At 59.4% G+C, this 24,792-nt stretch overlaps 1 long non-coding RNA gene across 1 annotated transcript, besides 5 other annotated features; it reads right to left on the bottom strand.

The window, feature by feature from the left end:
- Nucleotides 3,132-3,859: an enhancer, noted in NCBI's record as "H3K4me1 hESC enhancer chr7:500045-500772 (GRCh37/hg19 assembly coordinates)". NCBI's record gives its function as "activates a minimal SCP1, AML or CMV promoter by ChIP-STARR-seq in naive H9 embryonic stem cells {active_cell/tissue: H9 hESC(naive)}" and the evidence as "EXISTENCE:reporter gene assay evidence [ECO:0000049][PMID:30033119]".
- Nucleotides 3,860-4,587: an enhancer, noted in NCBI's record as "H3K4me1 hESC enhancer chr7:499317-500044 (GRCh37/hg19 assembly coordinates)". NCBI's record gives its function as "activates a minimal SCP1, AML or CMV promoter by ChIP-STARR-seq in naive H9 embryonic stem cells {active_cell/tissue: H9 hESC(naive)}" and the evidence as "EXISTENCE:reporter gene assay evidence [ECO:0000049][PMID:30033119]".
- Nucleotides 11,602-11,921: an enhancer, noted in NCBI's record as "active region_25470". NCBI's record gives its function as "activates an Ori minimal core promoter by ATAC-STARR-seq in GM12878 lymphoblastoid cells {active_cell/tissue: GM12878}" and the evidence as "EXISTENCE:reporter gene assay evidence [ECO:0000049][PMID:35858748]".
- Nucleotides 12,552-12,621: an enhancer, noted in NCBI's record as "active region_25469". NCBI's record gives its function as "activates an Ori minimal core promoter by ATAC-STARR-seq in GM12878 lymphoblastoid cells {active_cell/tissue: GM12878}" and the evidence as "EXISTENCE:reporter gene assay evidence [ECO:0000049][PMID:35858748]".
- On the bottom strand, nt 16,819-18,039 carry LOC124901566 (uncharacterized). The gene is made up of 2 exons (XR_007060174.1): nt 17,883-18,039; nt 16,819-17,623 (listed from the first exon to the last, which is right to left on the bottom strand). It is a non-coding gene; the product is annotated as an uncharacterized LOC124901566 (long non-coding RNA).
- Nucleotides 18,182-18,842: an enhancer, noted in NCBI's record as "H3K27ac-H3K4me1 hESC enhancer chr7:485302-485962 (GRCh37/hg19 assembly coordinates)". NCBI's record gives its function as "activates a minimal SCP1, AML or CMV promoter by ChIP-STARR-seq in naive H9 embryonic stem cells {active_cell/tissue: H9 hESC(naive)}" and the evidence as "EXISTENCE:reporter gene assay evidence [ECO:0000049][PMID:30033119]".

Genomic DNA, 24,792 nt, shown 5'->3' with positions numbered 1-24,792 from the left:
GCCTTGCTCGGAAAGCTGGATTTGAACGTCGTCTGGGTTTGGCGTTGGCCCTCAGGGCCCGGTGTCCTTCCCCAGCGCTGGGACCCAGCCTCCGGGGAGCCGTGAAGCCCTGCCGTCCTGTGGCTCCGGGGAACCAAGACCCTGCAGCCGGGGACGCGGCAGCACCCGCCTGCCTGGACACAGCCACGCCTGCCGAGATCCTCCACTTCACGCTCCCTCCCGGGCTGCGGACGCCAGCAGAGGGTGTTCCCCAGGACCCGCGCCCGCCATGCCCACCGCAGCTGCTGTGCACCTGGCTCGATGGGAAACTGTGAAATGAGATTTTCTCAGGATTCTTTTTTTGGGGGGGACGGGATGGGGACGGGCTGGGAGGAGCCTCCCGTGACACAGTGAAACCCCCCAGTGGAAGGATTTACTGCATAAATATCGCACGAATGCTCCGGCCATTAAATCACCGAGGGAGAATGTGTCGAGGCGCTTTGCTCCTCTCCTCTCTCCACGCTGGCGCCGGGTGGGCCTCGCCCCAGGAAGCCGGCCTCACATGGAAAATCCTCCCGCTCGCTCCCCTGGGTTCGCGAATCCTGCTGGAGGGCACCCGGCAGGGAACGCCTCCTTCCTCACCGCCCTCTGTGTTCCGGCCGCCCGCAGTGGGGCCGGGGCCGCGGGGCACTCGCTGCCCTTCCTGGAGCCCCCACTTGGCCGGGCGGGAGGGCACAGGCCCGGCCGAGTGGGTGAGCGGGAAGAGCAGAGTGCTGGGCCTGGCGTGGGTGTGACCTTGGGCCACCCCGTCGCCTTTCTGGGCTCTGTCATGGGTCTCGCATCTTCCCGGCGAGTCTTGTGCGGTGTGAGGCAGCGTCGTGATGCCGCTGGCACGAGGTCATTGGTGGACCGGCTTTGGAGCCACAAGACGGCAGGGCTTCACGGCTCCCCGGAGGCTGGGTCCCAGCGCCGGGGAAGGACGCCGGGCCCTGAGGGCCAACGCCAAACCCAGACGACGTTCAAATCCAGCTTTCCGAGCAAGGCTCACACCACCAGTGTGATGAGGGCAAGGGGGTTCAAACCCACAGACATCCCGCAACAAAAACAGCACCCCCACTTTAACCACGCGGCTGCCTCCTAGGCCCTTCTGGGCTGGCCTGGCCCGGGGCTGCCTGGGGGCCGTCCCGCCAGAGCACCCACGACCCCGCTGTATCAGGGCCAGGCCAGGGGGTGCCTCCCCTGATGGCTATTCCTCCAGCTCGTGGGACTCACGGGACGCGGCTTTGGGAACCGCGCCAAGGAGGTGGGGGCTCCGGCCCAGGTCTCGGGCCGCAGGAGCCGTCAGTTGTGTTTCTCAAGAGCCAGGTCCGCCCTCCCCCCCGGGAAGCCCCCAGGCCTTAGTGTGCTCCTGGAGGGGTGGGCGGCCGGGGCTCTCTCGCCCATCCCCGGAAGCCCGGCTGGGCTCCTGCACTCAAGGGCAGAACCGTCCGCCTCATCGGACATCACGAAGGGTCCTTCCGGGCCACGGCAGGCCAGGAAGGCCCCTGGGTCAGGTGAGCACCACCCACAGCCACCGCCGTCCGCCGCACGTCGCGAGTGCACGGAGCTGTGGGGCCGGCTCCGTCCCACTGCGGGCGGCGCTCTCGGCTCCTAGCAGCAGACAGACTCCAGCTACTTTAAGCCAAAAAAACAAAGATTGAGGGTGGGCCCTGGACTCTCCGGATAGGGCTTGAACAAACCCTAGGCACCCTGCCGGGGGCTCCCTAGGCCACAGGGCCACAGCCCACAGCCCACAGCCGGCGCCCAGCCTGGACATGCCCGCAGACCTCGGGAGGGGGCCTTGGGCCGCAGCCTTCCCCAGAACAAGGCTCCTGTACCCACCTCCCCATAAGAACCTGTCTGATTGGAAGTGCTGGAAGGAGCCACCTCTTTAGTGTGAGGGAGGCTGGGGAAGCCCTCACTGCATCTTGGGGATCCCCGCTGTCATTAGGCAGGACATCCCCAAACCTAGGGAGGGTGTCCTGCAAAGAAACAAAGTTGTCCTCTGCTGAGTTTCTGCCCACTGCCAGCCTCTCCCAGGATCTGCTCAGGTCAGTCAGCTGCTGGGGAGCCGGCCTCCGGGTGCGGGGACCTGGAATGGGCCAGTGCCTCCCGTCTGGGCTGGTCCCGGCTCCAGGCCTTTGCTCACACGCTCCCCTTCCTGGAGTCCCTTTCCCATGTGTGGGTCCAGCTCCCCGCAGGGAATGCCTGCGCCCCAAGTATCAGCAGGGAGACCCCGTGTGCCATGTCCTCCCCTGGGCCGTGTCTCATGTCTGAGAGGGGCTGGCACATGGAAGGCGCTGCATATGTGCCCACTGAGGTTAGGCGCACAGATGAGGTTAGTGGTATCATGGGGGCTGGACCCCGAGATCCCCCCCGACCCCGGCTCTGCCCCGCTTCCTCACCCTTGGGCCTCTTGGCTCAAGCAAGGGCAGGGCTGGGTCCATGCTGAGCTGGCAGGACAAGGGACGTCCTCTGTCCTCCGGTCAGCACAGGGCAGGCGGCGGGCAGAGACCGGAGGTGGCCTGGGGAGGAAATGTTGAAATTTGCAGCCAGGCAGGAAATGGACAGATTGTTGAGGAGGAGTTGGAATGCCATCTGGAATGCCGCCCCCTCGGTGCCCCCCGTTCGAGCCCAGAGTCAGGAAGTGCCTGGTGTCTTGGCTGGAGGAGCTCGTGCCCCCGCTGGGAGGGTGCCTGCCCAGTGCTACCTCCGGTTCCCAGCTAGCGGCATTGAAGGGGAAATTTGGAAACAGACAGGGGGCCGCAGGGCAGAGGAGAAACTGGGAACTGGAGCCAGGACAGTGGGGTCCTCCCTCTGCTGCTGCCCACGTGGGGCTCCCTCTGGGCTGCCCTGCTGGTGATGAGGAGCTTGAGAATTGGCTCATGATGTGCATGGGTTTCTGCACGCTCTTTCACACTTTGCACATAGCCTTCTCCACATGCAATGCTCTTCCCCAGTAGAAAACTCCTATTCAGTCTTCAAAACCCAGCTCTGGCAGCAGCTCCTTGATCAAGCTGTCCTTGAAGCTCCCCACCCTCACAGGTGCTTTGTCCCCACCCATCCAGTTTTACAGGCCAGATCCATGCCTTGGAACCACCCACCCACTCTGTATCTTTCTGACTAGGCTGAGAGGTCTCAGTGGACAGAGGACCTGTCTGACTCCCTGTGTCCCGACACCCCAGCACCCCGTGGGACACACGGTTGGCCCTGGTGTTTGCTGGGCTTGGAAGTGCAGCTCTTGAAATTTCAGCAAACTTCCCCTCGGCCAGCCGGGAGATGGCTGTTGGGGTCAGGGCATAATTCCCGGCCTCCGGGGATCTGTGTGGACTCAGCCCTGTGGCTGTTTCTGACATCACCCTCCCCTTTGAGTGGGAGGTGCTTGAAACCCTAGCCTAGAAGTCAGGAAGCCTGTGTTTAAATCCTGGCTCTGCTGCCCTGAGCTCGGAATTTCGACTCCCGAGCCTCGGTTTCCCCTTCTGTAAATGGGCCTGACAGGCCGATCTCAGAGCGATGTGAGGACCTGGAGATGGAGAGGGTGGTGCAGAGCCCGGCCCTGCAGGCACCCGGCCGTGCGAGCTGTAACCATCCACCCCTCACAGGCGCTCTCGGCCTGAGAGAAGGGAGGGCCCAAGCGGCTGCAGATCTCCAGGCCGGAGTGGCCCCCCTCACAGGATTCCTCTGTCCCCGCGGGGGAGGTAATTAGCATTCCAGCCCTGGAAGGACAGTGAGCTCCTTGGAGTGGCCCATACATGAAAGTGTGCCCAGCGGTTTCCTCAGGCTAACTCCTCCCGCCTCCTTCTGCCAGCCCCACCATGGCTGAGCCCACAGCCAGAGGAGACAACGCCTTCTGGGGAGCTGCTGGTCCTGGAAGCTGCGGGAGAAGGGCTTCCCTTGGGGTGGTGAGGAGTCAGGTTCACCCTCAGAGCTGGAGAGGCCAGCTGGGAATAATTCAGCCCTGGAAACAGCTCCAGTCACCTAGGGCAGGAGTGCCGGAGGCAGCTGGTGGGACCCAGGGGTCCAGTGGGTTCTGGGTGGGTGCATGGTCGCAGCCTCTCTCTTGAATATTGTGGTGCACACAGGCAGGCTTAGTATGGTCCGGGGTCACCTGTCAGCCAGCAGGTGAGCCAGCTTCTCTCCTTGGGCCATCCTGGACCTATTATCCAGTGCTGGTGTGCACAGGGGCTGGGTTCCTGTTGAGGCCAGCAAAGCGGGGGCACTGATCCTGTTGAGGCCAATGAGAGGCACTAGTCCTGTTTAATCCAATGGGAGGCACCAGTCCTGTTGAGGCTGGCCAATGGGATGCACTGATACTGTTGAGGCTGGCTAGTGGGATGCAGTGATCCTGTTGAGGCTGGCCAATGGGATGCACTGATTCTGTTGAGGCAGGCCAGTGGGAGACACTGATCCTGTTGAGGTCGGTCAATGGGATGCACTGATCATATTGAGGCTGGCCAATAGCTGCACTGATCCTGTTGAGGTCAGCCAATGGGATGCATTGATCCTGTTAAGGCTGGCCAGTGGAATGCACTGATCCTGTTGAGGCTGGCTAATGGGATGCACTAATCCTGTTGAGGCTGGCTAGTGGGATGCACTGATCCTGTTGAGGCTGGCCAATGGGAATCACTGATCCTGTTGAGGCTGGCCAGTGGGATGCACTGATCCTGTTGAGGCTGGCCAATGGGATGCACTGATTCTGTTGAGGCTGGCCAGTGGGAGACACTGATCCTGTTGAGGTCGGTCAATGGGATGCATTGATCCTGTTAAGGCTGGCCAGTGGGATGCATTGATCCTGTTAAGGCTGGCCAATGGGAATCACTGATCCTGTTGAGGCTGGACATTGGGATGCACTGATCCTGTTGAGGCTGGCCAGTGGGATGCACTGATCCTGTTGGGGCTGGCCAGTGGGATGCACTGATCCTGTTGGGGCTGGCCAGTGGGATGCACTGATCCTGTTGAGGCTGGCCAGTGGGATGCATTGATCCTGTTGAGGCTGGCCAATGGGAATCACTGATCCTGTTGAGGCTGGACATTGGGATGCACTGATCCTGTTGAGGCTGGCCAGTGGGATGCACTGATCCTGTTGGGGCTGGCCAGTGGGATGCACTGATCCTGTTGGGGCTGGCCAGTGGGATGCACTGATCCTGTTGAGGCTGGCCAATGAGAAGCACTGATCCTGTTGAGACTAGCTAATGGCAGCACTGAGTCAGAGACTGGAAGGCGGGAGGAAGAGAGGTGAGGGTATTTCTTCCTCTGCTCTCTCTGCACCTGGGTTTCCCACAGTAGCCCTGTGTCTCCAGGATGCTTCTCCTAGGATGCTCTTACTAAGGTCATGGCTTCCTGCTGCTGCAGGGCCCTGGGCTTGTCACTCCTGGGTGCTCCCCGAGCTGCCCAGGCAGCGTCAAGTCTCTTCTGTAAACTCCCCCACCACAGCTGAGCTAGCCTCTGCTCCCTGCCAGGCCTGGGCCACACCAGGTGATGCCCTGGTTGGAACCCTGGGTGCAGCGTCTGGGGGCGGGGTGCCTGGCCAGGTGAGAAACCGAGGCACAGCACAGCAAGCCCACAGGAAGCCTCCGGGTCATGGTGGATGGGGGTGGCCACTCACACACACAGGCTCTCCTCTTGATAGCCAGGTCTCCAGTGTCTGGGGACAGCTAGGCCCATGGGAGTCCCATCCCTACTGTCCAGGCTCAGCCCACGGGAGCCCCGTCCCTACTGTCCAGGCTCAACCCAGGGAAGCCCCATCCCCACTGTCCAGGCTCGGCCCACGGGACCTCCGTCCCCACTGTCCAGGCTCGGCCCAGGGGACCCCCATGCTCGGCTCACAGGAGCCCCGCCTCTACTGTCCGGGCTCAGCCCAGGGGACCCCTGCCCCCACTGTCTGGGCTTGGCCCAGGGGACCCCCATCCCTACTGTCCAGGCTCGGTCCAGGGGACCCCCATCCTTAGTGTCCAGCAGGGAGGGCGGGATGTGCGCTCACAATTCCTGCCGTTCACCGCCGGCCATGAGATGCGAGTTAAGGAAACATTTATTTTAAATGTAAACTGAGAGCAGCAGAATTCCTGGATGGGCTCTGTGGCCGCAGCCGTGGACCTGAGGCCAGGCGGTATGAATAGGAACAGTTGTCGCTGCTCTTAACCCAGAGGGGCCCCCGTGGACAGTGGGGCCTAGGGGAGGGCCGTACAGGCAGCGATGTCCCCGTGGGGCAGGGTCAGACCCTGACCTGTGGCCCTCTCGACCTCACCCTCACACCCCTGGGAGTCTGCGGGAGGACAAGGCCTCACTGCTGTCCCCAGCCCCTCACCCGAGGCCTGGTGCTGAGTCCATTCTGCCCGCCTTCAGCTCGGGAGCGCCAGCAGCACCCAAGGCCCCTTGTGCTCCCTCTTCCTCTTCAGGGAGACGACTCCCATCCCACACTGGAAGTCGCACATCAACACAGCCCCCCACCCTCACTGCCACCCCTCCTCTGTGGGCCCCAGAGGCCTGGGGGGTCCCAGCGTTGGAGTGGGAGGTCTGGGGTGGGAGATCTGGGGGTCCCGGCATTGGGGTGGGAGGCCCGGGGGTCCTGGCATTGGGGTGGGAGGCCCGGGGGTCCCAGCATTGGAGTGGGAGGTCCAGGGTGGGAGATCTAGGGGTCCCGGCGTTGGGGTGGGAGGTCTGGAGGGGAGATCTGGGGGTCCCGGCATTGGGGTGGGAGACCTGGGGGTCCTGGCATTGGGATGGGAGGCCCAGGGGTCCTGGTGTTGGGGTGGGAGGCCTGGGGGTCCCAGCGTTGGAGTGGGAGGTCCGGGGTGGGAGACCTGGGGGTCCCGGCATTGGGGTGGGAGACCTGGGGGTCCTGGCATTGGGATGGGAGGCCCAGGGGTCCTGGTGTTGGGGTGGGAGGCCTGGGGGTCCCAGCGTTGGAGTGGGAGGTCCGGGGTGGGAGACCTGGGGGTCCCGGCGTTGGGGTGGGAGGCCCGGGGGTCCCAGTGTTGGAGTGGGAGGTCTGGGGTGGGAGATCTGGGGTCCCGGCATTGGGGTGGGAGGCCTGGGGGTCCTGGCATTGGGGTGGGAGGCCCGGGGGTCCTGGCGTTGGGGTGGGAGGCCTGGGGGTCCCAGCGTTGGAGTGGGAGGTCCGGGGTGGGAGACCTGGGGGTCCCGGCGTTGGGGTGGGAGGCCCAGGGGTCCCAGTGTTGGAGTGGGAGGTCTGGGGTGGGAGATCTGGGGTCCTGGCATTGGGGTGGGAGGCCCGGGGGTCCCAGCGTTGGAGTAGGAGGTCCAGGGTGGGAGATCTGGGGGTCCTGGCGTTGGGGTGGGAGGCCTGGGGGTCCCGGCGTTGGAGTGGGAGGCCTGGGGGTCCCAGTGTTGGAGTGGGAGGTCTGGGGTGGGAGATCTGGGGTCCTGGCGTTGGGGTGGGAGGCCTGGGGGTCCCAGTGTTGGAGTGGGAGGTCTGGGGTGGGAGATCTGGGGTCCTGGCGTTGGGGTGGGAGGCCTGGGGGTCCCAGCGTTGGAGTGGGAGGCCTGGGGTGGGAGATCTGGGGTCCTGGCGTTGGGGTGGGAGGCCTGGGGGTCCCAGTGTTGGAGTGGGAGGCCTGGGGTGGGAGATCTGGGGTCCTGGCGTTGGGGTGGGAGGCCCAGGGGTCCCAGCGTTGGAGTGGGAGGCCTGGGGTGGGAGATCTGGGGTCCTGGCGTTGGGGTGGGAGGCCTGGGGGTCCCAGTGTTGGAGTAGGAGGTCCAGGGTGGGAGATCTGGGGGTCCCGGCATTGGGGTGGGAGGCCCAGGGGTCCCAGTGTTGGAGTGGGAGGTCTGGGGTGGGAGATCTGGGGTCCTGGCGTTGGGGTGGGAGGCCTGGGGGTCCCAGCGTTGGAGTGGGAGGTCCGGAGTGGGAGATCTGGGGTCCTGGCGTTGGGGTGGGAGGCCTGGGGGTCCCAGTGTTGGAGTGGGAGGTCTGGGGTGGGAGATCTGGGGTCCTGGCGTTGGGGTGGGAGGCCTGGGGGTCCCAGCGTTGGAGTGGGAGGTCCGGAGTGGGAGACCTGGGGGTCCCGGCGTTGGGGTGGGAGGCCTGGGGGTCCCAGTGTTGGAGTGGGAGGTCTGGGGTGGGAGATCTGGGGTCCTGGCGTTGGGGTGGGAGGCCTGGGGGTCCCAGCGTTGGAGTGGGAGGTCCGGAGTGGGAGATCTGGGGGTCCCGGCATTGGGGTGGGAGGCCCAGGGGTCCCAGTGTTGGAGTGGGAGGTCTGGGGTGGGAGATCTGGGGTCCTGGCATTGGGGTGGGAGGCCTGGGGGTCCCGGCGTTGGGGTGGGAGGCCTGGGGGTCCTGCCGTCGCATCGCTGGCTCTCCCTGAACCCCCTCCTGGTCTGGTCTCTCCCTTCCCAGTGGACCCAGCGTCATCGGAAACAAAAGCCAAGAATGCTGAGGGGCCCCCGGGGCCAGTGACAGCGGCTGGCCGGGCGCCAGCAATCACCATAGGCGAGTCGGGGAGCTGGCGGGTGGCCAGGAAGTGTCCCTACGGCTGCCTGGTGGGCATGTGGGCGGCCGGGCGGGCGGGCAGCCCAGGGAAAAGGCCCCTTCCGGGGGAGCCCACGGGGAAGCAAGGTCACCCTCAGACCCCAGCCCGTCTGTGCACGTGTGAGCGTGGGGGCGGGGGGCAGAGGGAGCCCCACTCAGAGGTGGGGAAACGGAGGCTCAGCGGGGAGTAGCGACTGCATGTGATACTCACAGTGGCCCCTGTGCTCCCCGGGGACACGGACACAGCCGTCCCCACGTCCTGCGTCCAGCCCAGGCCTGGCACAGGGAGGAGGGAAGGGCCAGGCACTGTGGGAACTCTGTGTTGTGAAGCTGCCCATGGCCTCGGGTTCAGGTGGATGCTGCCCCGTTGTATCCACGTGGAGATGGGCCCCAGCGATGCTCCAGGGCGGGAACCTGACTCTGGGCTCAGACTGCTCCTGACTTCTGAGCTTCCCACCTGTCCGGGCGAGGCCTGCATGGGCCGGTGGAGGTCAGGAGAGGCAGAGCTTGGCTGACTGGGCCCCCGAGGACACACGGGGGACAGGGTGGATGCTGACCTGGGCCCGCGTCTTGCCCAGGCTGGGCCAGTGGAGAAGGCCCTGGTGGAGGCGTCCACCCCTCCTGGGTCCCCAGGGCACCGTCCCATCTGCAGCCCAACGGACATGCTGTTCTGCCCCAGCACAGGGGCTGTAACCTCGGTGCTCGGACGGACTCAGGACAGACGCCGGCGCTCCGATGCAGTCAGGACAGACGCCAGCGCTCGGACGGACTCAGGACAGACGCCGGCGCTCGGACGGACTCAGGACAGACGCGGGCGCTCGGACCGACTCAGGACAGACGCGGGCGCTCGGACGGACTCCGGACAGACGCGGGCGCTCGAAGGACTCCGGACAGACGCCGGCGCTCGGATGGACTCTGGATAGACGCCGGCGCTCGGACGGACTCAGGATAGACGCCGGCAGACCCACACCTCACTGAGGGCCAGGTGACGAGCCCCCTCCACCAGGAAGGCCTCCTTGCTCTGGCTGTGCGGCCCCGGCTCGGTGGCCCCCGGCAGATTTTTGTGGGTGCTGCGGGTGCTGTCCAGGGGGAGATGCCTGGTGCTGCTGTGTCCCAGGGCAGCCCCTGGGAATGGACACCCTGCCCAGGACGTCCGCCTCCCTCTTACAGACAGGGAAACTGAGGCCTGCCTGCAGCTGTGACAAGAAGGGCTGTAGAGGGACCCGTGCATGTAGGTGGGGGTCTGGCCACCCCAGCTGGTGAGCTCCCACTTCATCGGCTCCGCAGGCCCAAAGCCCAGTCAGGTGCAGGAATTGTTACCCCTTCCTCAGGTGGCCGTGTGGACCCCTGGAGAGAATTCTGACTTGGAGTCTGCATAGAGTCAGAACCAGGCTCTGCCACCCACTTGGGGAGTCTCTTGCCCAACCTGGGCTTGTTTACTCAGCTGTTGTGGGCAAGAGACCCCTCGCCACCCGGGGGGGGAGGGCTGGAGGATCCAGGGGTCTCCCCAGACCTGTCACAGCAGCTCAGGACAGTGGCGTCAGGACCACGAGGGTGGTGGGCGTTCCTGTGCTGGGTGGGGGTGCTGAGGGGGTGGCATTCTCCTCTTCCTCCCCACAAGAGCCTGAGGAGCCCTTGCCTCCGGGGCGTGTAGATGCAAGACAAGCATCGTTTTACTCCAGGGAAGAGCAATGCTGCCCAGGAGGGCCCGTCCACCTGTGGGGCCTGGAGATGCAGGACAAGCATCATTTGACTCCAGGGAACAGCAATGCCGGCCGGGAGTGCCCATCCATGGGAAGATGCTGGAGAATCGACGTGGTTCCTGGTCCTGCTGCTGGGTCAGGACCTCAGAGGCCCCTGGAGTATGTGCCTAGCCCACCCGCCCCCAGGCCCTCGCCTTCCATAACCAACTCAAAATGAAAACAGACCAAACCATACAATAAAAACGTGCAATTTTAACAGTGGGGGAGCCTAACGTGGGCGGAAGGCGCGGGCTGCCCGGGGTTGGATTCCGGGCCTTTCCTTACCAGCTGCACGACCTTGGGGACGCTGCGTACATCTCCCTGTCCTCGATTTCTCTTATCTGTGAAATGGGGAGATCACAGAACCTCTTTCAAGGTCCCTGTGAGTGTGTTCATAGATACAAACCCTTAGAACGATGTCTGGCATTAGACACAGTGATCAACAATCAGGTGTTATCATTGAACGTGACACACGGAGCCCGTGTCTGCTGGAATGAAAGCAGGTTCCTTCCGGGTTTGGGCTGCTCCTGAGTTCGCTTTGTGCCTGTGGGTCTGGACAGTCCAGGCCTCTGGGGCCTTTCCCCAGGGCTCCAGCCAGACAATGGTGGACACGGCGCAGGGGCAGAGGGTGCTGGCCGGCCTCAGTGTGGCAGGAAGACCTTCTACCCAGAGCATGGGGATGCCTGAGCCACCCCATCCTGCCAGGAGAGCATGGCTGGTGCGGGCGCCCCCCCCAACCCATGGCACTTGTCCAGGCCTGAGGCACCGGCTCCCACAGTGTCTCCAGGGACCACGGCCTGTGCTGGCCGTGGAGGCTCCTCCTCTTCAGGGGGCTGGGGCTTCCCCTGCGTGCCTCAAACGCAGCTTCTCTACGCAATGGTGCCCACCTGGGCCCCAGCCCCTCTTCAGGTCCTCATGTTTCCAAGCCACAGCCAGAAGCACACCTGGAGAGGGGTGAGAGCACGGACCCCCGCCTGGCCTGCCCTGTTCCCTCTGCCCAGGCATTTCCTGAAGCCCCGGTGCCTCCCTGCGGATGGGAATTCCCCTCCAACCCCCAGCTCGCTGGGGCCCTGGGCCGGCCTGCAGGAGGGACCTCTGACACCCCCGTCGTCTTTCTGGGACCCAGGGAGGGCTGGCTCAGCAAGGAAGGACCGAGGGGGTGGACGGAGCTGCCAGGCTTCCTCCCTCTTGCTGACCCTTGATGGGGCCTGAGTGGCCTCAGGGTGTGGACCCTCCTGGCTCAGGCCCTGGGGATATTAGCGGTGATCTCCGCAGACTCTTCGCTCCCTTGGCGAATTCCATGCAACCCCACACAACCCTTCGAGGTGGAGGCTGAGGACCAGTCCCGTTTTACAGGTGCAAACACTGAGGTGCAGAGGCGTGAGGCCGCTGTCTGAGGCCATACTGTGCACCGCGGAGCTGGGGCTGGGGCCAGGCTCTGCGTCCCGGCTGCCTCGGGGTGGCTGCGTGGCCTGGGACAAGTCCTGGAAGCTCTGCATTCGGGGTCCTGGCTGCCAAGAGTGAGGATGGTCCCTCCCTCCCTGGGGCGTGGGGCCGGGAGCCACAGGAATGCACTCTCCCCCGTCGGAGGCCAGAAGCCGGGTTTCAGAGTGCGCAGGGCTGCGTCCCTCCCTCCCCTCCCCTCTGCTTCACACGCTCCTTCCCCGAGCGATTCTCACACATGGCTCCGGGGGCTGGCCCACAGCAGAGCCTGGTCTTCCGGACGTTTCTTCAAGTCTCCCGTGGGCTTCAAAGGCCCCGGAGCCGTTGCCCTCTGTCCTTGGCCTGGTGTGGTTTCTGGGCATGACGGGGGTTGACGGGGGTGGCAGGCGGCTCTTTGGGGCTATTTCAGGATCACCACAAATCTCGCCTTCCTGTGAATGGGGACTTTTCCTCAAACGTGGCTGAGGAGGGGGTGACGTCACTCCCAAATTACAAGGGAGTGGGGCCGGGTGGGGAAGGGTGTGACCCCGTGCTCTGCTCTTGGGGCGGGAGGCCTCAGGGCGGTCACCTGTGCTGGGCTCTGCGCAGGACGCTGCCCCCAGAGACCTCCAGGCCGCTCAAACGTCAGTGCGCGTCTGGGAAAATCAGAAACTGGGCGGAATGTTTGTTTGTTTGTTTGCTGGGGGGTGAGGGGGGCAGGGGCCCAGCAGCCCAGCGGGGAAGGGATTCAGCAGCCCCCTGGGGGAGCAGCAGAGGGGCAGAGGCAGGTCCCATTTCCAGCCTCGCTAGGGTAACTCAAGCTCTTAATTAGTCCCCTGGCTGCTGAGTGATGCTGCAAAGGCACCTCCGGCCCAACTGTCCCTCCCCCAGGGCAGAACAAAGCGCTCAGAGACCTCATTCAGCTCTCCTGGGGCAGCCACGCCCTGCTGGGAACAGAGAGGAGACAAGAGAGAGAGGGAAAGAGATGGAAAGAGAGGGAGGAGGAGAGAAAGAGAGAGAGACAGGAGAGAGACAGAGAGAGAGAGACAGAGAGAGACAGGAGAGAGACAGAGAGAGAGAGAGAGAGACAGGAGAGAGACAGAGAGAGAGAGAGAGACAGATGGAGGGGAGAGAGACGGAGAGAGGGGAGAGAGGGTGAGAGAGAGACAAACAGAGACAGAGAGAGACAGAGACAGAGAGAGACAGAAGAGTGAGAAACAGAGAGAGACAGAGAGAGAGAGACGGAGGGGAAAGACACAGAGAGAGGAGACAGCATAAGAGAGAGAGACAGAGACAGAAGGATAGAGGGGAGAGACAGAGGGATGGGGAGAGAGGGAGGGAGGGGAAGAGATGGAGGAAGAGGAGAGACGGATGGAGGGGGAGAGGCGGAGGGGAAGTGAAAGATGGAGAGAGCTTGAGAGGCGGCAGGAGGGCAGGAGCATGGGAGGGAGCAGAGGCCCCTCTGAGGCAGTGTCGGGTGGGACCCAGGGCTCTGTGGCCTCAGGGCCCTCCTGGACATGAAGTTGGGGGTGGTCCTGCAGCAATGGGAGGCCGTCCAGACTCAGCAGAGGCAGGAAGGGGACTAAAGCCGACTTCCGGGGTGTTGGGGAGGCTCGCTGTGCTCACTCATTCATTTGACAAACACCCCTGGGCGCCCACTCTGAGCCTCCCATGGGCTGTGGATCCTGTTCCATGCTGTGGAGCTGAGGTGCACAAGCTCCTGTCACCATCAGCTCTGCCACCGGTGCCGGGTCTAGCAGGAAGCTGCCCTTGCCAGGCCCCTGCCTGTGGGTGGGTTGGGGGGTGGGGGGAGGAAACCTCATCGGCCGATGGCACAGCCATGCTGTGTGGGCTCTGCGGGAGGGGCTGGGGGTGGCCACCCTGTGGGCTCCACACAGGTAGCGGGGCGAGCAGAGCAGGGTCTCAGAGCAGGAAGGTGGGAGGGGTCTGGGGAGGGACCACGTGGGGGTTCTAGGGTCTGGCCACAGGGCCCGGGCAGAGCAGCTTTAGGGAGAACAAGGGTTTAGAAGGAAGGGAGGGGGGCTTCGGTTTTGTTTTACCTTTTATATTTTATTTGCTTTTAAATTTTCTTTTATAGACAGGGTCTCACTGTATCGAACAGGCTGGAGTGCGGTGGCACAATCATAGCTGACCACAGCCTCAACCTCCCAGGCTCAAGCCGTCCTCCTGCCTCAGACTCCAGAAGAGCTGGGACTACAGGTGCTCACCACCACGTCCAGCTAATTTTAAAATTTCTTTATAGACAGTCTCATTCTGTCATCCAGGCTGGAGTACAGTGGTGTGATCCCAGCTCATTGCAGCCTCGAACTCCGGGGCTCAAGCGATCCTCTTGCCTCAGCCTCCTGAATGGCTGAGATTATAGGTGTGAGCCGCCGTGTCCAACTGGGCCTCAGTTTATCCCCCTGTGCTGTGAGGGTGTGGCCCAATTCGGGTCCTTAAATTTCAGCCACTGCCTGGTGCCCTTCTTGCTTTCGCTCCCTGACCTGCGCGATGTTGTTTGCTGTTTACTCAGTGTGTTTTAAAAAATTAACTCATTTTTTCCTTCCTTTTTTTAAAAATTGCATTCTCCCTCTGATATAAAATTAGATCACTTAAAAAAACTTAAATAATTAAAGAGAAATGCAGTATCTCCAGTAAAAACCTAGCATCTCCTGCCATGAATTGAGGTTAATTCGAACATCACACACAGACAGAATGAAACACTGGTGCGTGCTTCTGGCTGGTGCTCCTGGGGGCAGGGCCCTTAGCTTGTGAGTGTCAAAGGGGCGGATTAGCAGCAAACAGGTGCATTCTCCTCGTATAAGAACTTCCTCACTCTCGAACTGTCTTCGTATCTCCTAAAACCATCTCTCAACCCCAACACGTTTGTCTCCCATTTTGGGAATTGCAGGGGGAGCAGAGACGAGGCTTCGATGTCAGGAAGCAAAACGTGAGCTCATCGGACACAAAATAAAGAACATTGTTAAGTAAGGAAGGAGAATGTGAGAGGGCAGGGACCCCGGGGAGCTCATGGCAGGAGGGGGGATGCTGGGGAGCTCACAGTAGGAGGGGGGACCTTGAGGAGTGCACAGGAGGCCTGTGGGCACCTGGGAGTGAGTGAGTGGCGAGCAAACGCTCCTTCTCGGAAAGGCAGATGCCTGCAGGTGCGGAAGTAGCTGCTTGGTCCCCAGTGTGTCAGCTTGGGGGGCACAGAAAATGAGAGGGTGACAGGAAGCTTCCGGCCAGGCTTGGAGAGAGGGCTGTGCTTTCTTCCTTCTGTAGTTTCTTTCTCTCTCTCTCTCTCTCTCTCTTTCTTTCTCCCTCTCTATCTCTCTCTTTCTTTTTGAGATGGAGTCTCACTCTGTTGCCCAGGCTGGAGTGCAGTGGTGCAATCTCAGCTCATGGCAACCTCTGCCTTTTGGGTTCAAACGATTCTCCTTCCTCAGCCTGCCGAGTAGCTGGGATTACAGGGCCACACCACCACACCCAGATAATTTCTGTATTTTTAGTAGAGACGGGGTTTCTCCATGTTGGACAGGCTGGTCTTGAACTCTTGACCTCAAATGATCTACCCCCTGTCAGCCTCCCAAAGTGCTGGGATTATACGTGTGAGCCACCGTGTCCAGCCCCTTCCCTAGTTTTCTCATCTGGAAAATGAGAAAGTCCAGGTTGGTGCTGTCTGACGGAAATAAAATCTGAGTCTCAGGCGTAATTTTACATTTTCTAGTAGCCACAGTAAAAGTAAAAAGAAACAGGTGAAATCAGTTTTAGTAATGTATTTATTTATCAAACCCAATATAGCCAGAATGTTATCATTTCAACATGTAATCAATAAAAAATCTAGTAATGAGATATTGTCATTCTTTTTTAATACAAAGTTTTCAAAATTTGTTTGTATTTCACACTTACAGAACATCTGAATATGCACACGACATTCTCATCAGAAATACTCTGCCTACATTAAGATTTCATAAAACTTATAGTTGACAAGTGGATCACTTAGCTGAGTTGCCTGAACTATACTTAAAAAATTTACTAACTGATTAGCATACCAACATAAAAAAATTAATATTCACACTTCCATTGGTAAAACTGCTTCAGTTTAAAATTTTTCTACTTGCTATTTTTTTGTGTTAGAATGTTTTCATATAATTAAAGGACACTGGAATTTTCCTTTTCTGTTATTTATTCATTTCTTTGGGCCATTTTAAAAAATAATGTTTGCCTTTTTCTTTATTTGTAGAAGCTATTAATACGTCAGAGCTATTAACCCAAACCCAAGTTTGCCCATGATACGACTTGAAAATGTTTTCCCATTTTGTCATTCATCTGTTTAATTTCTTATCTTTTTTGTAAAAGCAAAAGTTGTTTTTAATTTTATTTAATTAATTAATTAATTTTGAGATGGGTCTCGCTCTTTCGCCCAGGCCGGAGTGCAGTGGCGCCATCTCGGCTCACCGCAATCTCCGCCTCCCGGGTACAAGCGATTCTTATGCCTCAGCTTCCTGAGTAGCTGGGATTACAGGCGTGAGCCACCATGCCCAGCTAATTTTTGTATTTTTAGTAGAGACGGGGTTTCTCCATGCTGGCCAGGCTGGCCTCAAACTCCTGACCTCAAGTGATCCACCCGCCTCCGCCTCCCAAAGTGCTGGGATTACCAGTGTGAGCCTCTGCGCCCAGCAAAAGTTGTTTTTTAAATATAGAGAATATAGCAAAGCCCATTCGTGTTTCCTTCCAGGCCTTCAGGCTTTGCTCATCAATTTCAAATGCTTTTTATTTGGAAATGGTTAGAGATCCCCAGGAAGTTGTGAAAATGGCACAGGAGGTCCCTCCTCCCCCAATGGTGGCATCTTGGGAACTAGAAGCTGAGTCACAGCCGGGAAATTGTCACGGGGATGACTGCGCAGTTCTGCGCCCTTTTTCACCACGGAATCCAGACACGGAGCTGTCCTCCAGCACAGACGACCCCTCGTTGTGGTTTTATGTCATTTTATGATTCTATCTCTGATCCATTCACATTAGATCTCTGATAATTCACATATATTTCTGGTGTAAAGTGTAAGAAAGTAATCCACATTAACCTTTTTTCCTATGACTACCGTCTCATTTCAATATCACATTTCTGTCTTTTTAATATATATATATATATTTTTGTAAAACAGCTTTATTGAGTTGAAATTGTCAACAACAAGCTGCCCATACTTAAAGAATATAATCCAATATGTTTTGACGTAAGTGGATGTTGTGAAACCACCACTGAAATCAAGGTCAGGCCAGGTGCACTGGCTCACGCCTGTCATCCCGGCGCTTTGGGAGGTTGAGGCAAGAGGATCGCTTAGGGCCAGGAGTTTGAGACCACCAATATAGCAAGACTCCATCTCTACAAAAAATAAAAATAAATTAAAAAATCAGCTGGGTGTGGTGACGTGCACCTGTCATCTTAGCTACTCGGGAGGCTGAGGTGGGAGGATCCCTGGGGCCCAGGAGGTCGAGGCTGCAGTGAGCCATGATCTTGCCACTGCATTTCAGCCTGGGTGACTGAGCGAGGCCCTGTCTCAAAAAAACCCCCCAAAACAGCAACAAAAACAATAGCAACATAAACAAGCCCAGCAGGCCACATGAGCTGGGGCAGCAGGGTGGGGGAAGGAACCTGGACCTGGGCTCCGCAGCGGCAGCACCCAGTCCTCGGGAGGCAGCTCCTCAGCACCCAGCCCCGCGCCGGGTGATGTGGGGCCCTCACTGATGTCCAGGGAACCACACCGGCTTCGCGAGCACACACACTGTTGGCGCCGGGCAAGGCACTTGTCACTGCTGGGCCAGGGGAGAGTCTGGGTCCTCGGCTGGTGCAGGGTGGGGCAGGCAGGATTGGGAGGGTCTTGAGGAAGGCGTGATCCACCTGAAACTCCCCAACGGAACAATCGGACTGGGTGCTGCAGACAGGGGGGGTTCGAGCCTAGGGCACCAGGGGCAGAGAACAAGAGAGTTGGCATGGCTTGGGGCTGCACGTGGAGCCCTCCCTGCCTCACCATGGGCCACGGGGAGCCATGCAGGGTCCTGGGAGGGGGAGAGGCAGGTGGAGGCTGATCCTGAGCCCCCGTCAGGGCTCACGTCGGAGGGCACCATTGACCGGGAGGCCAGGGAAACCCTGGAACGTGGGGTTTATTTTTCTTACAAAGCTTCGGCAGCCTGGGCTGAGCCAGGCTCTGACTTACCTTCCTGCACATCCAGGCCCACGAGGCAGGGAGATGGGAGGCCGGGCGCCCTGAACATGTCCTGCAGGGTCGCTGCTCTGCTCCTGTGCCGGGGCCATTCCTGTCATCCTGGGGCCTCCCCCTCTGCCCGTGGAATCCAACCACTTCCGGTTCCCCTGACCAGGGTGTCCCTTCGCTCCCCTCGGACAAGAGGCGCCCCCTCTATTGGAGTAGTCCTCCCTCCCTCCATCTCTCCCTCTTCCCCCTCCCTCTTCTTCCTCCCTCTCCATTGTCCCTCATTCCTCTCCCTCCCCACTCCCTCCTCCCTCCTTCTTCCTTTCCTTCTCCTCCCTCTCTCTCTCCTCCCTCTTTTCTCCCTCCTCCCTCTCTCCCTCCTCCTTCTTTTCTCCATCTCTCCATCCTCCCTCCTCTCTCCCTTCTCCCCACCTCCATCTTTTCCTCTTCCCTCTCCCTCCCCACTGCTTCCCCCTCCCCCTCCCTCCCTTTCTCTTCCTTCCCAAATGCTCAAGGCACTCATTCCTGCATCCATGGGCAGATTGCAGCAAATGCTCAGGGCAGTTCGTCTCCGGGCAGATTGCAGGCGCCTGTTAGACTGCAGTGCTCTGTCAGGCCCTGGGCTGCCGCTGTGGCCGTGGAGGAGGTGAGGCCTCAACAAGTCCGGACCTGGGCCCAAGCCCGCAGTGGGGAAGGGGCAGGCCAGGGGCTGCAGAGAGTGGGGTGGGGCCTCAGGGGCCTCTTGAGGGGACACCTGAGCCAAGAGCTGGAGGACGAGGACGGGGTCTAGGGGGGTGACCAGGACAGCATGCCAGGCAGGGCTTGGGGGAATGGGGACCAGATGTTAGAGCGTCTGGCAGGCCAGGGAGGGGTGAGGGTCTTACTCTGAGTCCAAAAGGACCCACTGGAGAACCTGAAAGGTCACCGTGTGTGCTGAGTAGGGAGAGGGACCCAAGGAGACAGGGTGAGGGCATGCAGGGTGATGGGGTGCTGGTGACGGGGCGCTGGCTGGTGGGGCCAGGCCATCTCTCCCTGGCGCAGGCCTGCCTCGCCCCGCCTCGCCCCTGCAGCACATCATGGGGGCACTGTGGCCACTCTGACCATGGCATGTGCAGGGCAGCAGGAGAACCACCGCCACTGCCGGACTTTCACACGGCTCCGGTTCCGACTTGCTTTGCTCTCGGAGACTCTAGGCCAGCTGGAGATTGGGGTGCCCCCAGCCCACATCAGCTGACCCCAACCTCTCCCCACACAAGTGGCTGCTGCCCCGGAGGCAAGGGGCCTCACTCACTGCTGGAAGTGGAGTCTGTGTGTGGTTGGGTGGAGTCAGGACCCCGGGGACCCTGGCTGGGGGCCATGCCCCTTGGATTCCGGGGGTCTCAGGAAGAAGCACTGAGACCATTTCTGGGGGTCAAGACACAAGGCTGAGCTCGCAGAGGGAGAAACACTCACAACTCAGAGGAGGCCTCTTGATGGGGAGCCAATGACTGCATTTTGAAGAAAGAAAAGGGAGAAACTTGGAAGGGCCTGTGCCTCTGGGGCGTGCTTCTCAAGAGTTGGCAGCAAGGCTAAAGACACATCCCGTTTACAGCTCCCGCTGGGCGCGCCACCTCTGCAGAGCTGGGCTCGGAGGCTGTGAGGCCGGGGAGGCCCTCCTGGGTCAGGATGGATGGTTCTGGCTCTGGCTCTGTGAGTGTGGGCAAGCTTGGGGCAGGGCTCCAGCTCCTGTGTCAGAGTGGAGGCCCCAGGACCCTTTGGTATCTGGGACCTGGGAAGCTTTGAGCTGACCCTTAGCTGACGGCCCAGGTTCTGGGTCTCTGCGTGTGCCTCCGTCTCATGCAAAGGGTAGTGAATGTCCCTAGAACGTCACAGGGCTTTGGCAGGTGCAGCCTCCTGGTGGGGAAGTGGGTGGAAGGAAAGGGGAAATATTTCTCAGAGCCCACCAGTGGGGTCAAAGACCCTGTTTCAAAGGTCAAGGGAGGGTAAGGGCTGCCTCGGGGTTACCCCAGATCCTAACTCAGTGGCCAAGAAGGTAGGTGGTGGCTGCAGGATGGACAAGGTAGGCAGTGGCTATGGGATAGACCACAGGCTCTGCCGTGTAAACAGGATGAGATTCCCCAGCAGAGCCCCTGCAGGGTGCTGTGCGTCAACTCCTGTGGCACAGGGAGCACCCAGTGGGTGCCTAGGGAGCAGCAGGGAGTTCTCACCTGTCCCTGGAGCCACTGGGAGAGTGTGGAGGGATGGGAGATGTCCAGCTCACCTGGGGCTCTTTTCCCTCAAGTAGAATCTGCTCAATTTAGATACTGAAAGGGGAGGGGTTTGGGGAATTGACTTTCCTAGCTGCAAAGAAGGGCCTGGGACTCCTCAGAGAAACAGAGGCTAAGAGCCCCAGGCTGAGAAACCTCCTCCAACTGCCCAGCTGAAGGGCTAGAACCCATGTGGGCTATGCCAGTCTGTCCACATTCATCCACCCACCCATCCATCCATCCACCCACCCACCCACCCACTCATCCATTCACCCGCCCACCTTCCCATCCATCCATCCATCCATCCATCCATCCATCCATCCCTCCATTCATCTATTCACCCACCCATCCATCTACCCATCCACATACTCATCCATTCACCCATCTACCATCCTCCATCCACCATCCATCTATTCACCATCTATCCTTTATCCTCCATCCATCCATCCATCCATCCATCCATCCATCCATTCATCCATCACTCATCCTCCATCCACCATCCATCCATCCACCATTCATCCTCCATTCTCCATCCCTCCATACACCATCCATCCACCATTCATCCATCCATTCATGCATCCATCCATCCATCCATCCATCCTCCATCCACCATCCATCCATCCATCCACCCATCCATCCACCATTCATCCATCCACCCATCCATCCACCATCCACGATCCCTCCACCATTCACCATCCATCCATCCATGCATCCATCCATCCACTATCCATCCTCTATTCTCATCCATCCATCCACCATCCATCCTCCATCCATCTCCATCCACCATTCATCCTCCATCAATCCATCTATCCATTCATGCATCCATCCATCCACCATCCATCCATCTATCCATCCACCATCCATCCTCCATTCTCATCCATCCATCCACCATCCATCCTCCATTCTCATCCATCTGTCCATCCATCCATCCACCATTCATCCTCCATCCATCCATCCACCCACCATCCACCATCCATCCACCAGTCATCCTCCATTCTCTTCCATCCACCATCCACCATCCATCCACCATTCATCCTCCATTCTCATCCATCCACCATCCACCATCCATCCATCTATTCATCCATCCATCCATCCATCCATCCACCATTCATCCTCCATCCATTCATCCATCCACCATTCATCCTCCATTCATCCACCATCCATCCATCTATTCATCCATCCATCCATCCACCATTCATCCTCCGTTCATCCACCATCCATCCACCATCCATCCATCTATTCATCCATCCATCCATCCACCATTCATCCTCCATTCTCATCCATCCACCATCCACAATCCATCCATCCATCCACCATTCACCATCCATCCACCATTCATCCTTCATGCACCATCCATTCATCCACCATCCATTCATCCACCATCCACCATCCGTCCTTCCACCATCTATCCTTCATCCTCCATCTACCATCCATCCATCCATCCATCTATCCGTCCGTCCGTCCGTCCATCCGTCCATCCATCCCTCCATCCATCCATCCATTCATCCACCCATCCGTCCAGCCATCCATCCATCCTCCATCCATCCTTTATCTGCCATCCATCCATCCATTAGCCATTGTTACCTCCTCTGAGTCAGATGTGGCTCTAGGTGAGGGGATGCAGTGACAAGACACAGCCCCACCCTATGAGGCTGATACTCCAGTGCTTTAAGGCATGGGGGAAATAAAGCACAGAAACCAAAGGGATTCACGATGTCTTTTGCCCTCAGGGCTGGGGGCCCTGTGGGGGCATTTCTGAGTGCCAGGCATTGTTCCACAGAGCCCTTGAGCCTGTGGCAGGCAACAGGCTGGGAGCCACATTTACTGAGCACCTGCTGTGCGCCGAGCACACTTTGGGCTCCTCACACAGCAATGAGCTCACCTGAACTCCTGTAGGGGAGATTCCAATTTGCAGACAGGAGAAGAGCTGGGGGAGGAGCCCACATGCTGGGGAGAAGCCAGCTGGGGTCTGAACCCAGGCGGTCAGTCTCCCTGCTGCCGTTTCTCAGCAGGGAGCTGCCCCAAGGGCTGGGTGGTGGCTGGGTGCTGTGGGTGGACACCTGTGAGTTTCCTGGAGTCCTGCTTTCATTCGGAAGCTGGGTTGGAACAAGAGGAGGCTGGACAGCCACCCTCAGTGTGACCTTTTATCTCGGCAGCCTTGCTGGCCCTGGCCAAGGTGGGTCTCAATTTCTTTCTGGCCTCCACCGGAATTACTTAATGGATAAAAAATAACCATGTCCAGGGCTCAAGTATCAGCTGCGGGAACAGCCAGCATTGGCAGCCAGGGACCTCTCGCTGCCCGGCCAGCTCCGGAAAGAGCCTGCCCCTCCTCTGCACAGCTGGTTGTGTGTGGGTGTGGCGAGCGTGGAGGGGTGGAAGGAGCACTGGACCTGGAGTCTGAGGGCCCTGGGTGCAAATCGACTTCACCCCAAGGAAGTCAGCATGACTTGAGGCAAACCAATGACCCTTTCTTTAAAAATTGGCCAATGCGGGCTCAGCATGGATCACCGTGAGGGTCCAATGAGGTGACTCGGGCGGGAGCAGTGGCGTCACTGTCGTTTTCTCGTCTTCTTCCTCCTTCCTTCCCCCTCGGCAGTGCAGTGTGTGATGGCTTCCTCGCCTGATGGTGACACAACCAGCCCCATCCTGGTGGTGGGCACCCACGTCACACAAGCCACGCTCCAGCTTCCCGGGTGCCCACATGTTTATGAACCAGCCTCATGCTGGTGGTGGGCGCCCACGTCACACAGGCCACGCTCCAGCTTCCCGGGTGCCCACGTGTTTTTATGAACCAGCCCCATCGTGGTGGTGGGCGCCCATGCCACACAGGCCACGCTCCAGCTTCCCGGGTGCCCACCTGTTTATGAACCAGCCTCATCCTGGTGGTGGGCGCCCACGTCACACAGGCCACGCTCCAGCTTCCCGGGTGCCCACGTGTTTATGAACCGGCCCCATCATGGTGGTGGGCACCCACGTCACACAGGCCACGCTCCAGCTTCCCGGGTGCCCACATGTTTATGAACCGGCCTCATCGTGGTGGTGGGCGCCCACGTCACACAGGCCACGCTCCAGCTTCCCGGGTGCCCACATGCTTATGAACCAGCAGTGAGATGGACGTGTCTCCCAGGGCCAGCCAGGCCTTCTCCGGCTCTTCCTACCTCGTTATGTGCTGCGGCCTGGATACACTGGAGCTTTTAAATAGAGTAGTTCCACTCTAGCATTTGATTCTGTTACGAATGGAATGGCATCCTCCAAACTTATAGGTGGAAGCTGTATCCCCCATGTGACTATATTTGGAGACAAGGCGTTTAAGGAGGTAACAAGATTGAATGATCCCATAAGGTTGGGGCCCTAATCCTAATCCTGTAGGACCAGTGTTCTTATGGGAGGAGGAAGAGACACCAGGGATCCCCACTATCTGTGCACAGAGGAGAGGCCGTGTGAGGATCTGGGGGAAGGCTGCCATCTAGAAGTTGAGGAGAGAGGCCTGTGGAGAAACCAGCTGTGCTGGTTCCTTAATGTTAGACGTCCAGCCTTCAGAGTTGTGAGAAATAAATCCGTGTTGTTTAAGACCCTCCGCTTGTGGTTTTTGTGATGACAGCTGCAGTACCCTAAAATACTTTCCAAACTCCATCACAATGTGGGCCCCATCTCCCGTTACTGCTCAGGAGTAGGAGAATGAAAAAGAGGGCTGGCAGGGGCTGGGGATGGGCGTTCTGGGATACTGGGGCCCTAGCTGACTTTGGACAAGTCTCTTTTGTCTCCCCACTGTAAAAAGGAGACCTTGGGCCCAGTGGTCTCTACACGATTCTCCACACCAGAAGCTCTCTGGCATCTTGGGTCTGGGGCCACTGCTCAGTGCAGGGAGGGCTTGGTCTTGGTAAGGGCAGCAGTATACTCTCAGGGCCCAGAACAAGGCCTGGTGTGTGAGCTGGGCCCTGGACCCGGAAGAAGGAACATTGACCTCTGCCTCCTCTTCACCTTCCCTTCTGCAGTGATCGTGGCCAACACCCAGGGCTCCAGTCCATTCCTGGGGCTTGGGGGCACAGGGACCCATAGAGAATGCCCAGTTGGCTCGAATGAGGGTTATCCCTGCATGGCCACTGTCCTTGAGATGGCTGCCCCTGGAGTGTGCAGAGGACACTCTCAGTACCACCAGATTCCAGCCTGCCTGGCGGGAGTCCCCAGGACCGTCACTCTCGCCTTGGTTACAGGGGCCTCTGTCCTCCACATCTCAGGGAGGTGGAACCAGCCCACACAGTGCACAGTAAATGCTCATACTCCTCAGCTTCTCTTAAGGGTCAGAAATCAAGGGCATACCTAGAGGCCAAAGCCTTCTTTGGGCCTCAGTTTCTCCATCTGCAGACTGAGCAGTGGGCTCCGACCATTGCTGCCATCCCCCTGAGGTCTGTAGGATCTCAGAGGTTTATTTGCAAGGAGTTTCCCCCCAGTTTCCTCTACATAAATCATCCTGAGCACACACATACCTGCGTACCTTGAGGGTGGCAGGAAGTCCAGACATTGCTCCCGACCCCCTTAGGTCCAGGCCCAGGGCACAGCCCTATAAATCCGTAACACAGAGAGCACCAAGGGCCGAAAGCGTCCTCGTGGAGGGCAGGGCTGTGGGGAAGAGGCTGAGCCACCAGGGGCTCTCGGGGGCTGGAGCCTGG

Source organism: Homo sapiens, chromosome 7 (genome assembly GCF_000001405.40).
Source record: "Homo sapiens chromosome 7, GRCh38.p14 Primary Assembly".
NCBI classification, from domain to species: domain Eukaryota; kingdom Metazoa; phylum Chordata; class Mammalia; order Primates; family Hominidae; genus Homo; species Homo sapiens.
This window is presented reverse-complemented; position numbering and strand designations above follow the sequence as displayed.